We start from the raw sequence: 17,610 nt of genomic DNA, 5'->3' as shown, positions 1-17,610 counted from the left end.
CACTGCACCCGGCTCCCAAATAAAAATATTTATTGGGAGAGGGAGAAAACTAGCGTATCAGAGAAAAAAGAACCAAGGCTGAAGAAAAGGGACTGGCTTGAAGTCCCAAATGGAAAAGCTCTACCATTTACCAGCTACATGACTAAGTAAATTACAACCTCTTTGGGTCTGGATTTCCTCTTTATAAGATCTGCTTTGTCTGTAAAGATTAAATCAAATAAGGCACGTGAAAGTGAACTAAAAGTATGCAAATGAAAGCCATTACCACTTTTAGTATCATATTAACAAAGCATTATGCAGGAAATCAGATTGGCAGTTTTAACTTTAATAGAGCTGATGGTTCATAAATGGTTACCTAGCATTAACTGATTGGTAATAAACAAAATCTGATTAATTTAGAGTCATATATACAACCAAGGAAAGTTTAAAGGACATATGATTACCAATTTTCCATTAATATTTGTGATTAGTGAATAGTCTATCTTGTTTTGGTTGAAAGGCTATATATATATTTTTTTAAATAAATAAAGCGATAAAACTGTTTCCAAGGATTAACTGTTGAGATGACAGACAACCATGGCAGGTCCTGATTCCAAATGAAGAATCTGAGAAGAAACTTTAGTGCCTTCAAACGTATTAGTAGACTTCAAATAAATGGACAAGTTCTAAACAGTAATCTGATTCACTCACAAGCTATGTATCAACAAAACAGAATCTAAGATTCTTCAACTTGCAGTTCTCACCTGCCCTCTCAGGCCTCAGGTGTTCTGTTTGACCCACAAAGGCTCATTTTACAGATGTTTCACAGAAATGTAACACTGTAAGAATTGCAGTTTGAGATAAATGAAACTGAGCCAATAGGCAATGGCAAAAAATTTCAAGACATCTTTGGTTTACTTCCAAAAAGGCCTTCAGTAAATACTCAACACTTGATTAAAACTCATTCAAATATTTCCCTTACGTGACATCAAGAGCAAAGTGCACAGAACTCATGCCTTGCAACAGGGTGCAAATATTCTCCAGTGTTTTGGGGTGTATTATTTTTACCCTCATGTATCATGGTAGTCTTTCAGATGAAATAAATTATTCTGTTGTTTCCCATTTTTTTTCTAGATGAAGAAAAGGAAATAAAAACAAAAACCAAAAGGAAAAGAAACGAATGAAAAGGAGGAATCCTATAGGAGCTAATATTTTAAGAGACTTGAGTGGCTTAATTTCTATTAAAATGTAGTTCAGTACAATTGCAACAATTGGAGGAAGCTGGGCTGGTGACTCAGTTCCAGCTGCTTGGTATGAAATGAGTGCAGCATAGCTAGAGAACACCGGAGCTGGCTCTTGAAGATGACCCATCTGTAACAAGTTGACTTGCCCAACGAAGAAAAAAGTACTAGGTATGTAGGCCTTATCTTTTAAATGGAGCTCCTTTTTTCTCCAGAAAGAGAACAATAACAAAAAAAAATCGAGTTCCTTTTTGAAGGTGCTGATTTTCAGGGCATAAAATTAATTCACACATATCAAAGACACTACTGGACACTATATAAACATATAACAACAACAACAAAAAACCTCACAAAAGTTAACACCAGAGAACCAGAATTATTTGTTTCAGAACGCTTTACTACTATTAATTATTCTTTACTAGATTTGCTATATTCTGGTTTGACTGATAGTCAAGTCACTAATTGAACAAATTAATCATGGACTCAACAAAACACACACACCAAGACCCCTTGTCACTAAGAATTTGTCTTTGTCCCAGTTCAACCAGTTAAAGAATTTTACTGATTTGGATTAAATATTGTTAATCTGTCTACTTTTAATGTCAATTTTATTGTCAATCTGTGGAGGAATACTTCAAAAAAAATAGTACCCATGAAAAGATTTCAAATATGGATTCCATAATTCGTTTGTCTTTGTTTTTGTGTTTTTTTTTTTTTTTTTTTGACATGGAGTCTCACTCTGTTGCCCAGGCTAGAGTGCAGTGGCGTGATTTGCCTCCACCTCCCGGATTCAAGCAATTCTCCTGCCTCAGCCTCCTGAGTAGCTGGGACTAAGGCACTCACCACCATGCCCGACTAATTTTTGTATTTTTAGTAGAGACAGGATTTCACCATGTTGGCCAGGGTGGTCTTGAACTCCTGACCTCAAGTGATCACCTGCCCCGGCCTCTCAAAGCGCTGGGATTACAAGAGTGAGCCACTTTGCCTGGCCCAAATATAGAGTCTATAATTTTTACCATCTTGATAACAGTTTAGGAGTAAAGTGTATACTGATAACAGGTTTAGAAAAACATTCACTAATAATTCTATTAATTCAGCTCTTAGCAGCCTCAACAGGATGTATCATCTTTGAAATCGTCTTAAAAAAGAACATAAAGACATAGCAACAAAATACTCCCTCTCTGTGTGTCTATATCTCCCTCCCCTCTCAATCACACACACACACACATCCCCACCCACCCACGTACACACATCCCCCCACCCACCCACATACACACATCCCCCCACCCACCCACATACACACACACCCTCAACCCACACACTCCAACCCACCTACACACACCCCACCACCCACCCACCCACACATACACACACACCCCCACCACCCACCTACCCACACACACCCCCTCCACCCACCCACCCACACACATGCACACACATACACACACCCCCCACACACACAGTGGGTACACATGTGATTCTGAATGCAGTCATAAAGCACAATTATCTTGAATTGGACTGTTCTAACAAGTGCTTCATGTAGCTCAAGTCAACTTTACAAAGGGGAAAAATGGAGTCTGACTTTCCTGTCTGGACAGCAGCAGGAAATAGATGATGTCTCTGAAAGACAGGCTTATCTCATTCCATTTAGTCTCTTGGCATGTGTCATTCATGCTGCTGCTACTGAAGATCATGGAAGTTGAAATGATTTCTTAAGTTACTGAAGACTGTTTTCAGAAAGGTGGAACCACAGAGACATGATCATGAAGATAAAACTATCTGAAGAGTCTATTTGGGAATCAGATTTTTTTCTGAGTTTCTAACTGCCTTTTAAGATATGCAGAACTATCAGTTTCATAGTTCCATTGTAACATTTTAAACTATTACAAAAGTGAAGTTTTTTTCCCTTTTCTCCTGATTTTAAATATAAGGTAACTAACTCCAAGGAAGATGAGGCAGCTCGCCCCAGGTCCCAGTGAAATCAGTGATAGAGCTCTCTCCATACACAGCTAGGTCTCACTCCTGAAATTTTCTATACTATGCCATGGTTGTTTCCCAACTGATGACATGCCAGAACATCTTTAACTCTGCCCCAATTTTAGTATTTTCACTTATATTATCTGAAGCTTTTGTTCAAATCGTTGATGTAAATTGAAATTCTTTGTGAAGCCTGGGCCCTTTTTTTTCTATCTAAACGTTCTTTAAATTGCAATATGAACAGAAAATTAGATTTGGAAATGACTCCCACCAAAGCACGAAGGCTGCTCTGGCAGGCAAGTAATGGGAGATTGTTCACAGCCTCACAAGGGACACATGAATACTACCAGCATAGTCATTAATGCCAACTGAGATTCAAAGAGAACATGTCATACAGTGCCAGAACTAGAAATGGGCTTGTTCTTATGGATGAAATGTCATGTAACAATCATTTTTTTCAAATCATAGAGTGAGCTGCTAAGTAACTCTCAGAGGAGTTCTATTGTTCTCCACTGGTTTGTTCTGGAGTCAGTACTTCTCACCAAGATATTAGGCAATTACCAGGAAAAGCAGGAAAATAAGCACTGTAGGCATATTTTCTCCCCCAAGATTTCTAAAAAGAGTCACATTTAATGTTTTAAGATTAAGAATATATTATGAAAAGTACTACAGGGATGTTTTATTCCTCTGTGATAACTTTCATATATACTGGTGGGTTGTTTGTTTTTGTTTTTTGAACCAATGCTCACTTTCTTGAGGTACTTTCTCTTTAAAATTTTGTTCAAGACTGCAAGTGTGTAAACTCATAGAAAAGATTTGGACGAGGCCAGGCACAGTGGCTAAAGTCTGTAATCCCAGCACTTTGGGAGACCAAGGCCAGAGGACTGCTTGAGCCCAGGAGTTCAAGACCAGCCTGGGCAACACAGGGAGACCCTGTCTCTTAAAAATAAAAAATTAGCCAGGTATGGCAGTAAATGCCTGTAGTCCTAGCTACTTGGGAGGCTGAGGCTGGAGGATTACTTGAGCCCAGGAGCTCAAGGCTACAGAGTAAGCTGTGATCGTGCCACTGCACTCCAGCCTCGGTGACAGAGGCAGACCGTGTCTCAAAAAAAAAAAAAAAAGAAAAAGAAAAAAGGAAAAGATTTGGAAGAATAAAGACCAAACCTAAAATAAATTATCTCTCTGAAGGGGAAGTTGATGACTAGGGGGTAGGGATGGTACAGACTCATTATCACGTACTACTTGCTTAGTTTTAGTTGCCCTAAGAAGCATTTTTTATATTTACTGGAGACCTATGATTGTTAAAGACCAAAAAATATAAGCTTCAATTTTAAGTGCTCTCTACCATTGATTTTACATAAAGCCCTAGGTAATAAACATATATCTTCTTTGATATTTTCTAATTATAAGGCCCTGAATGCCTACCTCCCATGCGCCACTTTTTATATATATAAACACTTAACATATACACTTACACATATTTCCACATACACACTTTAACATATATATACAAATCTGCAAATATCAATCAACCTATAGGAATAATGCCTTTAAAAAATCTGCAAATGAAAAGAAACAGACAACTCTGAAATAGCTATAATGGGTTTACTTCCTTTTCTGACCCAGATTCCCATGTTTATGGCACTATTACTGGTATGTATCACAATTAAAGCACTGTATTAAACTATTCAATGACAGCTTTTTCAAAGAATGGCAGTCAACTCACTTGCTCCAAGCCAAAAATGGAATAGGAGAAATTCATGTATTTTAGGACACAGTAAGGGTGTGTGCCTGGTGGCACACTCTATTTTTAGGAGTTATATTGGGAAACTTGCTTTGTGTACACATGTATAAAAAAAAAACAGTAATAGAAGGGTAACTACATGACTTATTTCATTCTTACATCTCTGCCCAACATGAATAAGGTAATGTCTTCCCAAGAGCTTGTAGTTTTAACTCACTATTCCCAAAGGCTTATTTCTACATTTATATACATAACTAAAGGGGTTCCTTGATGACTTTATGGCTTATGTTCAATAAATTTTAAAGTCTGTAAAATTTCAAATATATGCACTAGCAGTAAGTAAAAATGTATTTTAAGGGAATGACAGAAATCTGAGTACACTAACCTAGAACTTGGAATGGAATTATAGCTCTCAGGTAACTATCAGCATGTGATGCTCAGAGGGATAACATAGATTAATTCTGCCACTTTATCAAGTGATAGGCTGTCAATATCTTTTCCTGGACACTGTTCATGACTTGATATATAATATGGTTTAAATTTCTGTCCTTGCCCAAATCTCATATCAAATTGTAATTTTCAATGGTGGAAGAGGGGCCTTGTGGGAGGTGACTGGATCACAAGGGCAGACTTCCCTTGCTGTTCCTGTGACAGAGAGTGAGTTCTCACAAGATCTGGTTGTTTAAAAATATGTAACACCTCCCCCTTCTCTCTTCTTCCTTCTCCGGCCATGAAAGACATGTCTGCTTCCCCTTTGACTTCTATCATACTTGTAAGTCTCCTGAGGCCTCCCCAGACAAGTTTCCTGTACAACCTGCAGAACTGCCAGTCAATTAAACCTCTTTTCTTTATGAATTACCCAGTCTCAGGTAGTTCTTTATAGCAATGTGAGAACAGACTAATAGTTTTAAAAATCAGTATAATAGCAAATCATGTTGTGACACTTGCATCAAGAGGAATCCACTGCCAAACCCTAGTTTTTCCCATTAATACAACTATTCTTTTTTTTTTTTTTAATTTATTTTTTTATTGATAATTCTTGGGTGTTTCTCACAGAGGGGGATTTGGCAGGGTCATGGGACAATAGTGGAGGGAAGGTCAGCAGATAAACAAGTGAACAAAGGTCTCTGGTTTTCCTAGGCAGAGGACCCTGCGGCCTTCCGCAGTGTTTGTCCCTGATTACTTGAGATTAGGGAGTGGTGATGACTCTTAACGAGCATGCTGCCTTCAAGCATCTGTTTAGCAAAGCACATCTTGCACCACCCTTAATCCATTTAACCCTGAGTGGACACAGCACACGTTTCAGAGAGCACAGGGTTGGGGGTAAGGTCACAGACCAACAAGATCCCAAGGCAGAAGAATTTTTCTTAGTGCAGAACAAAATGAAAAGTCTCCCATGTCTACTTCTTTCTACACAGACACGGCAACCATCCGATTTCTCAATCTTCTCCCCACCTTTCCCGCCTTTCTATTCCACAAAGCCGCCATTGTCATCCTGGCCCATTCTCAATGAACTGTTGGGCACACCTCCCAGACGGGGTGGTGGCCAGGCAGAGGGGCTCCTCACTTCCCAGTAGGGGCGGCCGGGCAGAGGCGCCCCTCACCTCCCGGACGGGGCGGCTGGCCGGGCAGGGGGCTGACCCCTCCACCTCCCTCCCAGACGGGGCAGCTGGCCAGGCTGGGGGCTGACCCCCCCACCTCCCTCCCGGACGGGGCGGCTGGCCGGGTGGGGGGCTGACCCCCCCACCTCCCTCCCGGACGGGGCGGCTGGCCGGGCAGAGGGGCTCCTCACTTCCCAGTAGGGGCGGCCGGGCAGAGGCGCCCCTCACCTCCCAGACGGGGCGGCTGGCCAGGTGGGGGGGCTGACCCCCCCCCCCGGACGGGGTGGCTGGCCGGGCGGGGGGCTGACCCCCCCCACCTCCCTCCCGGACGGGGCGGCTGGCCGGGCAGAGGGGCTCCTCACTTCCCAGTAGGGGCGGCCGGGCAGAGGCGCCCCTCACCTCCCAGACGGGGCAGCTGGCCGGGCAGGGGGCTGACCCCCCCACCTCCCTCCCGGACGGGGCGGCTGGCCGGGCAGAGGGGCTCCTCACTTCCCAGTAGGGGCGGCCGGGCAGAGGCGCCCCTCACCTCCCAGACGGGGCGGCTGGCCAGGTGGGGGGGCTGACCCCCCCCCCCGGACGGGGTGGCTGGCCGGGCGGGGGGCTGACCCCCCCCACCTCCCTCCCGGACGGGGCGGCTGGCCGGGCAGAGGGGCTCCTCACTTCCCAGTAGGGGCGGCCGGGCAGAGGCGCCCCTCACCTCCCAGACGGGGCAGCTGGCCGGGCAGGGGGCTGACCCCCCCACCTCCCTCCCGGACGGGGCGGCTGGCCGGGCGGGGGGCTGACCCCCCCACCTCCCTCCCGGACGGGGCGGCTGGCCGGGCGGGGGGGCTGACCCCCCCCACCTCCCTCCCCGACGGGGCGGCTGGCCGGGCGGGGGGCTGACCCCCCCACCTCCCTCCCCGACGGGGCGGCTGGCCGGGCGGAGACGCTCCTCACTTCCCAGATGGGGGGGCTGCCGGGCGGAGACGCTCCTCACTTCCCAGATGGGGTGGCTGCCGGGTGGAGAGGCTCCTCACTTCTCAGACGGGGCAGCTGCCGGGCGGAGGGGCTTCCTCACTTCTCAGACGGGGTGGTTGCCAGGCAGAGGGTCTCCTCACTTCTCAGACGGGGCGGCCGGACAGAGACGCTCCTCACCTCCCAGACGGGGTTGCGGCCGGGCAGAGGCGCTCCTCACATCCCAGATGGGGAGGCGGGGCAGAGGCGCTCCCCACATCTCAGACGATGGGCGGCCGGGCAGAGACGCTCCTCACTTCCTAGATGTGATGGCAGCCGGGAAGAGGCGCCGCTCCTCACTTCCTAGATGGGATGGCGGCCAGGCGGAGACGCTCCTCACTTTCCAGACTAGGCAGCCAGGCAGAGGGGCTCCTCACATCCCAGACGATGCGCGGCCAGGCAGAGACACTCCTCACTTCCCAGATGGGGTGGCGGCCGGGCAGAGGCTGCAATCTCGGCACTTTGGGAGGCCAAGGCAGACGGCTGGGAGGTGGAGGTTGCAGCGAGCCGAGATCACGCCACTGCACTCCAGCCTGGGCACCATTGAGCACTGAGTGAACCAGACTCCGTCTGCAATCCCGGCACCTCGGGAGGCCGAGGCTGGCGGATCACTCGCGGTTAGGGGCTGGAGACCTGCCCGGCCAACACAGCGAAACCCCGTCTCCACCAAAACCAGTCAGGCGTGGCGGCGCGTGCCTGCAATCGCAGGCACTCGGCAGGCTGAGGCAGGAGAATCAGGCAGGGAGGTTGCAGTGAGCCGAGATGGCGGCAGTACAGTCCAGCTTCGGCTCCGCATGAGAGGGAGACCGTGGAAAGAGAGGGAGACCGTGGAAAGAGAGGGACACCGTGGGGAGAGGGAGAGGAAGAGCAATACAACTATTCTTAACCCTTGATTTAAATCTTTTGGGGAAGGGGATGTATGAATGTTCTTCACCTCAGACCTGTTTGCTAAAGGTGAATAGACATTCCTGAATAAAACAGAGCTTTCTACTCATCACGGCTCTTCTCAGCCCTCTCCACTATGGAAAATAAGCCATAAAGTCATCCAGGAGAGAAACCTACAAACAACTCTTCACTTAGCAAGAACAGACACCGGGCCACAGATAATTGCTCTTATTTTACAATACATTTAAACAAATATGATTAAAATACTTGCATTATAGCTAAAATGCTATAGAAAATTACTGTTATTCTCTGAAAAATAAATTAAATGAAATTGACAACAACGGTATTCAACCTCCTAAAAATCCTTGTCTTTGAAGATCCAGATTATAAAGATCACATGCTTAACACATTTGGGGCCAAGATGATGTCTGCTTAGAAAGCTCTTCATGACTCCATGTTTACACTGGAAAAAAGAAGTCAAGGATTTCACTGCATCCACACTAACACTTAGCTCCTAGTGCTACTCATGAAATTTAAGGTAAACATACAAAAGTTCCTAAAAAAGACTGAGTAGCCACGCAGTATACTGACAGCGTGACTTGTCCAAAATAGTTATATACAAGTTGTTTGTCCATAAACCAGCAGAACTTTAATACAATATATTTCCTTTAGAGAATATGTGCCATCAAGGTGAAAATAGGATCAAACTGAAAAGATAGTTCAGCTTAAGTTGATTGCAAACTGCGACCATGTCTTACCTTTTCAGGTCAACAGTCGTCACACTAAATACAACTCCTTTGAGCCAAAGAATCATGAAGAGCCTCTGGGAAAAGGGGCAGTTTCCTATGCTTTCACCATCACTGCCAGCCTGGAAAACAGAATTAAACATTAAAAACAAGGTCAAAGTGATGATACTCAACATGACATAACTTTTTCTGAATTTTAATCAAGAGTACAAGAAGCCAGGAAAAGTTACATTGTGGAAGGAAGAGTAGAAATTTGGGTCTTTATTATTTTGTTCTTTCATTAGCCTTTTTTTTTTTTTTTCTTTTTTTGAGACAGGGTCTCCTTCTGTCACCCAGGCTGGAGTGCAGTGGTGCGATCTCAGCTCACTGCAACCTTCACCTCCCATCTTAGCCTCCCAAGCAGCTGGAGCTACAGGCACGTACCACCATCCCGGCTAATTTTTAATAGTTTTAGTAGAGACAGGGTTTCACCATGTTATCCAGGTTGGTCTTGAACTCCTGGGCTCAAGTGATCCACCTGCCTCAGCCTCCTAAAGTGCTGGGATTACAGGCATGAGCCACTGCACCCAGCTAGCGCTAGCCTCTTTCTTTTCTTAAAAATGATCAGTCTAGGGCCAGGCGTGGTGGCACACACCTGTAATCCCAGCACTTTGGGAGGCTGAGGCAGGTGGATCACACGGTCAGGAGTTTGAGACCAGCCTGGCCAATATGGTGAAACCCCATCTCTACTAAAAATAAAAAAATTAGCCAGGTGTGGTGGTGGGTGCCTGTAGTCCCAGCTACTCAAAAGGCTGAGGCAGGAGAATCACTTGAACCCGGGACACAGAGGTTGCAGTGTGCTGAGATCGTGCCATGCACTCCAGCCTGGGCGACAGAGCGAGACTCTGTCTCAAAAAAAAAAAATAAATAAATAAATAAAATAAAAAATAAAAATGACCAGTCTAGTATAGCACTGCCCAAGAGAATTTAATGCATGATGGCGATGATCCATATTGCCAATGTCCAATATGGTAGCCACTAGCAATATGTGGCTAGGGAGTATGTAATGGGGCTAGTTCAAGTGAACTGAATTTTTTTGTTTCATTTATTTTAAATTACAGTCATGAATCACTTACTGACAGGGACACATTCTGAAAAAAATGTGCTGTTAGGCGATTCTAGCATTTTACAAGCATCACAGGGTATGCTGACACAAACCTAGATGAGATAGCCTACTACACACCTAGTCTACATGGTATAGCCTATTGCTCCTAGGCTACAAACCTGTACAGCATGTTACTGTACTGAATACTGTAGGCAAGTGGAATATAATGGTAAGTATCTGTACATCAAGACATATCTAAACATAGAAAAAGTAGAATAAAAATACGAATTATAAGCTGGGTGCAGTGGCTCACGCCTGTAATCCCAGCACTTTGGGAGGCCGAGGAGGGCAGATCACGAGGTCAGGAGTTTGAGACCAGCCTGGCCAACATGGTGAAACCCCACCTCTACTAAAATACAAAAAATTAGCTGGACGTGGTGGTACGCGCCTGCAGTCCCAGCTACTTGCGAGGCTGAGGCAGGAGAATCGCTTGAACCCGGGAGGCAGAGATTTTACTGAGCCGACATCGTGCCACTGCACTCCAGCCTAGCGAAGGAGCAAGACTCCATCTCAAAAAATAAAAATAAAAAATAAAAGCAAATTACAATCTTTTGAGACCCCTGGCATATGCAGCACATGACTACAATTTATAATTTAAAACATAAACAATATGTTTTCATAATTTAAATAGCCACATATGACTAATGGCTACTATGTTGGACAGAACAGTAATTCCTAGGGGGTACATAAACCCTTGCCTCAGGGCAAAGGCAAAGTCTGTTATGGGTTTTCTGAAATGTAAAAATCATTTTTCATTCTATCAGACAGTATTCTTCGTAAGGCAAAGTAAAAAGGGAAACTTGTAGGTGTACCCGCCTCCAAAAAAAATTCATTATAAACATCCCATATCCTGGCTGGGCGCAGTGGCTGACTCCTGTAATCCCAGCACTTTGGGAGGCCAAGGCGGGCAGATCACAAGGTCGGGAGTTTGAGACCAGCCTGACCAACATAGTGAAACTCCGTCTCTACGAAAAATACAAAAATTAGCCAGGCGTTGTGGCGCATGCCTATATCCCAGCTACCCGGGGGGCTGAGACAGGAGAATTGCTTGAACCCGGGAGGTGGAGGTTGCGGTGAGCCGAGATCGTGCCACTGCACTCCAGCCTGGGCGACAAAGTGAGACTCCATTTCAAAAATAAAAATAAATATCCTATATCCTGTTTTTTTTTTATTTTTTTTTTCAATTAGAGATAGGATCTTACTATGTTTCCCAGGCTGGTGTGCAGTGGTTACTCACAGGCACAATCACAGCATACTGCAGTTTCAAATTCGTGGACTTAAGAAATACTCCCGCCTCAGCCTCCCCAGTAGCTGAAACTACAGGCATGCACCACCATACCCGGCCCATATCCTGTTGTACACATTCCTTCAGAGAGCAAGAAAATAGCAAAAGATATATTTATAATAACCTATTTCTAATCCTACTTAATGAATGGCAATGATGAGGTAGATTTTCCTAAAATCAGAGTGGTACAAATCTTTTATAGTCCCATCATGTATGCCCCAAGGTGGTTGTTGCTATTGTTTTTAACTTTTATTTTAGGTTCAGGGGTATTATGTGCAGGTTTGTTATACAGGTAAACTCATGTCACAGGAGTTTGTTGTACAGATTATTTCATCACCCAGGTACAAAGCCTAGAGCCCAATAGTTATTTCTGATCCTCTCCCTCCTTCCATCCTCCACCCTCAAGTACAGCCCAGAAATAAGGCCACACACCTATAACCATCTGATTTTCGACAAAGCTGACAAAAACAAGCAACGTCAAAGACTCCATATTCAATCAATGGTGCTGGGATAACTGGCTAACCATATGCAGAAGATTAAAATTGGATTCCTTCCTTATACCATACACAAAAATCAACTCAAGATGGATTAAAGACTTAAATGTAAAACCCAAAACTATAAAAACCCTGGAAGACAACCTAGTCAGTGCCATTCTGGACATAGGAACTGGCAAAGATTTCATGACGAAGATGCCAAAAACAATTGCAACGAAAGTTGACAAACAGGATCTAATTAAACTTAAGAGTTTCCGCACAGCAGAAGAAACTATCAACAGAGTAAACAGACAACCTACAGAATGCAGGTTGAATGGGAGAAAATATTTGCAAAATATGCATCTGACAAAGGTCTAATATCCAGCATCCATAAGGAACTTAAACAAAATTACAAATATAAAACAACCCCATTAAAATGTGGGCAACCGACATGAAGACACTTTTCAAAAGAAGACATACATGTGGCCCAACAAGCATATGAAAAAAAGTTCAATATCACTGATCATTAGAGAAAAACAAATCAAAAGCACAGTGAGATACCATTTCACACCAGAATGGCTATTTTCAAAAAGTAAAAAAAAAAAAAAAACAGATGCTGGCAAAGTTGTAGAGAAAAGGGAACACTATACGCTGCTGGTGGGAGTGTAAATTAGTTAAACTATTGTGGAAAGCAGTGTGGCAATTCCTCAAAGAGCTAAAAACAGAACTACCATTCGACTCAGCAATCCCATTACTGGGTATATACCCAAAGGAATATAAATCATTCTACCATAAAGACACATGCATATGTATGTTCACTGCAGCACTATTCATGATAGCAAAGACATGGAATCAGCCCCAAGTTTAAAAAGGAAAGATGGACTGAAGGAAAAGGAGAGATGGGAAGGAAAGAGAGCTGGAATGCTGGAAGAGAACGTTCTGACATTGCTAGAGATCAACACAGCCTGTTGACTATGACGTCCATGGAAAGTGCCAGAAATAACTCTCCAATAAGTCATTCAAAGATGCTGGTAAAAGTACTGTTCATTATCCTAAAGTAACTCTCAAAAAATTCAGAAGCATTTCAGTAAAATGCCACATCAGTAAAAAGTCATTAATTCCTAAACTAATGGAGAGGTAAAGGGAGTTTAAAAAACAAAAACAAAAAAAGTGGGCTTATAGTGAAGATTCTAGAACCCTAATCAGACAGCATGGAACAGTTACAACAGAGCTTGGTTTAAGAAAAAAAAAAAATCCGATCATTCTTTATCAGTAACAAAATATACACAGAATTTGAGGGCAGAATGAATCATATTAATTCCTAATACTACATATAACTTGTACAAAAATGTACTTCCTAAAAAAGGCCTAGTTCTTAAATTTTACTGTGATTACAAATAACCTAAGGAAAACATTTAAAATGAAGACCCCAGGGCCTCATATCTAGAGATTCTGATTCAGCAGAACTCCCGGGTTGGGGCCCAGGAATCCTTATTTTGTTATAGGCACTCAAGGAGATTCTGAAGTAAGGCACCTGCCTGCTGGATACATTAAGAAACACTGGTGTGGGAAGGTTAGGATGATATTTGATTCTCAGAACCCAAGTCAATTTACAGCACTAACTCATCCTACTATATAACAAACTGGTGCCCAAAGTTGCCTTTTTGAAGATACTGACCATTAATAGCATGGAACACTGATAACACACAAGTGGATTTACTACAGACAAGAAAATGTTAATACACTACCTTTCCAATTAGCCTGATAATCCAAATTTGAGATTTACTGAAAAAAAAAAAAAAACAACAGTAATTTGGTACACAAAGAACTAGTCTGACTCAAGGCCTTTATCCTCCTCCACTTAATCTATAAAATTAACTAAAATTTCCCAAGCTGCCTGTCAAAGCAGTGTTAAAATCATTAAGTTGGTAAACGAGACATAATAAAGATATTACATGTAGGAACTTAGAAACACGTTAAACTAAAAGCAGGCTAAAGATGAATGGGGACTGGCTACAGATCAGTCACCATACATAATCTCCTACAGTGGTCTGCAGAGCCAGTCCTTGAGCATGGGCAAAAGAATCTCAGAATACGGAACAGTTCATGAAGACCTGGTCAGGACAGAAATGCCTCTTTCCTTTCACAGGTGACTGCCTCCTTTCTCTAAAATTTTCTAGCAAATTTTCTCAATTTACTTTTGTTTCAGGTATATCAGAAGCTCGTTACACATCTCATACGCCTAATAAGCACTTTCCTTCATGCACACATAAATAAAAGGATGCATATTCTTCAAGACGGACCTGAAAAAAGTCCCTTTTTTACTAACCACTAATGACAAGTCAAATAAGAAAAGTCATCGTCACCATGAACAACTTTTTCCAAAGTCTTAATAGCATCAGAAAATTGGGAGCTACTAGTCAGATGAAATATTTATTTTTATTTTTGAAAATTTTTAAAGTATAGAAAAGGCCACGCACAATAGTTCATGCCCGTAATCCCAACACTTTGGAAGTCCAAAGCAGGAGCATCACTTGACACCAGGAGTTTGAGATCAGCCTGGGCAACCGAGCAATACCCCATCTCTACTAAAAAAATTAGAAAATTAGCCAGTGTGGTGGCACTCTCCTATAGTCCCAGTTATTCAGGAGACTGAGGTAGGAGGATCACTGGAGCCCAGGAGTTCAAGACTGCAGCGAGCCATGATTATAGCACTACATTCCAGCCTGGGTAACAGAGCAAGACTCTGTCACTATTTAAAATATATATATTATATATATACACACACATACACATATACACATACATATAAATACATATATATACACACATGCACATATATATGTATAATTTATGTATATACAGTAAAACTGTGGAAAAATTCAAATTTCTTTTTTTTTTTTTTTTTTTAATTAGGTGGAGTCTCGCTCTGTTGCCCAGGCTGGAGTACAGTGGTGTCATCTCGGCTCATTGCAACCTCTACCTCCCAGGTTCAGGCCATTCTCCTGCCTCAGCCTCCCGAGCAGCTGGGAGTACAGGCGCCCACCACCATGGCTGGCTTATTTATTTATTTATTTATTTTTTTGAGATGGAGTTTCACTCTTGTCACCCAGGCTGGAGTGCAATGGTGTGATCTCGGCTCACTGCAACCTCCACCTCCGAGGTTCAAGTGATTCTCCTGCCTCAACCTCCCGAGTAACTCGGATTACAGGTGCCCACAACCATGCCCAGCTGATTTTTGTATTTTTATTAGAGACAGTGTTTCACCATGTCGGTCAGGCTGGTCTCGAACTCCTGACCTCAGGTGATCCACCCGCCTCGGCCTCCCAAAATGCCCAGATTACAGGCATGAGCCACGCCGCCCGGCCCAATTTTTGTATTTTTATTAGAGACAGGGTTTCACCATGTTGGCCAGGCTGATCTCAAACTCCTGAACTCAAGTGATCCACCCACCTCAGCCTCCCAAAGTCCTGGCATTACAGGTGTGAGCCACTGGGCCTGGCAAAAAATTCAAATTTCTAGAATTCACAAGTCAAAAACCTTCTCCTTTAATCCAAGTTAAATATAAAATTCAATTTCAACAAAATTATAGAATCAAAATTACCCTGTTTAGTATGAACTACACTGAATACAGTCTATTGCTACAGCTGACTGAGGGCATTGTGATACAATGGAAAGCATCCTACACTGGGAGCCAGGATACGTTTATTCTATACCCAGTTTTGTATTAGTAACCATAAAAATTAACATATAGTTATCTAACAATAGCATCTGAGAAAAGTATGCCTTTAAAAAATACTCTTCACTGCTTCTAACAGTTATATTCATTATTTTTAAAATAAATAAAAACTGAAACACTAGAGAAAGTCAGCGTTCCCTTACCCTTGAACCATTAATTTGCTACTTATTCTTCTACATTTTTATTTTCTATCTACATACTACTATTTTTCTTTTAATAGAGATGGGGTTCTAACTATGTTGCCCAGGCTGGTTTCAAACTCCTGGCCTCAAGTTATCCTCCCACCTTGGCCTCCCAAAGTGCTGGGATTACAGGTGTGAGCCACCACGCCCGGCCCATACTACTTTATTCCTTGAAAAATATGATCACATATATATAACTTTTTTTTAGTTTATATATTTTATTTCCAACTTAATGTAACCAATCCTCTGGAGGCTGTAATGTCTCTGCCAGAATACTGTCAGAGATGGCCAGGGAGGAAACCAGGGCCTCCAAACCCTGCCAAGCCCCTGCCCCTGGGATGGGGTCAGAGGAGGCCTAACAGAGTCAGGACTTTGAACATTAACCAGTGGTAATGAGGCCACCTCCACTAGTGTACCAGGGAGGTCACACAGGGAGCTGCAACTCCCATTCCCCCACCCCAGCAGTAATAAGGAGCCTCTTCACCATGGTTGCTGGCTTGTTTAGTTCCAAGTCTGAGATGTATAAGGCAAAAAACTAAGAAACTCACTACCATCTAATTCGGTTTTTCCAGAAGCAGAAGTCTCTCAGAAGTATTAAATTTATTTATTTATTTTTCTTTTCCTTAAAATCACATTCTGGAAGCAAGAAGTATTAAATCTAAAAAGTGGGGCTAGGCATGGTGGCTCACACCTGTAATCCCAGCACTTTGGGAGGCCAAGGCAGGCAGATCACCTGAGGTCAGGCGTTTAAGACCAGCCTGGCCAACATGGTGAAACCCCGTCTCTACCAAAAATACAAAAATCAGCCGAGTGTGGTGGCGCACGCCTATAATCCCAGCCACTCGGGAGGCTGGGGCAGGAGAATTGCTTGAACCTGGCAGGCAGAGGTTGTAGTGAGCTGAGATCGCGCCACTGCGCTCCAGCCTGGGCGACAGAGCAGACTGTCTCAAAACAAATAAAAATAAAAATAAAAAAATAAAAATGAGATAACCCAGTGCGGCACTTGGACTTCTGTCTCTACCTGGTTATAACAAAGCAGTGCCATCTCCCTTCTCCTTTTCCCTCCACAGAAATGTCAAAGGAGTCTTACTTGAGTGTCAGAAGTTTAAAGAGAAGGATTAAACAAGATCCAGAGTCTCTTAACATAGTATGAAAATGTCCATGTTTCAACTGAACGTGTCATACCAAGAATCATATCAAATGGAATGATCTGCTTGAAGCAAATGAAAAAACAGAAAGCCTCAGCAAAAAAAATAGAAGATGTATGTCAGAAGATAAACACGATAATTAAAGTTAAAAAAAAAAGATATAAAGAAGTCCCAGATGGAAATTTTAGAACTGAAAAATACAGTAACTGAAATTTAAAAACTCAGTAGATGGGTTCAAAAGCCAAACGAAGGGGACAGAAGAATCAGTAAAATGAAGGCATAAAAATTACCTAGTCTAAACAACAGAGAAAAACTACACTGAAAATGTAATACTTCTTATATATTTCCAGGTTTTTTTGTTTGTTTATTTGTTTTGAGACAGAGTCTTGCTCTGTCACTCAGGCTGGAATGCAATGGCGCGATCACGGCTCACTGCAACCTCTGCCTCCTGAGTTCAAGAGATTCTCCTGTCT

The 17,610-nt window shown here is 43.2% G+C and overlaps 1 protein-coding gene across 1 annotated transcript in view; it reads right to left on the bottom strand.

Annotated features, from left to right (window-relative positions):
* CLIC4 (chloride intracellular channel 4) overlaps positions 1–17,610 on the bottom strand; it is a 98,875-nt gene that overhangs the window by 37,292 nt on the left and 43,973 nt on the right. The window contains exon 2 of the mRNA NM_013943.3: positions 9,179–9,288. Coding sequence (NP_039234.1) covers positions 9,179–9,288 — 110 coding nt within the window. The remainder of the gene's footprint in view (positions 1–9,178; positions 9,289–17,610) is intronic.

This window comes from Homo sapiens, chromosome 1 (genome assembly GCF_000001405.40).
Source record: "Homo sapiens chromosome 1, GRCh38.p14 Primary Assembly".
Classification (NCBI taxonomy): Eukaryota; Metazoa; Chordata; class Mammalia; order Primates; family Hominidae; genus Homo; species Homo sapiens.
This window is presented reverse-complemented; position numbering and strand designations above follow the sequence as displayed.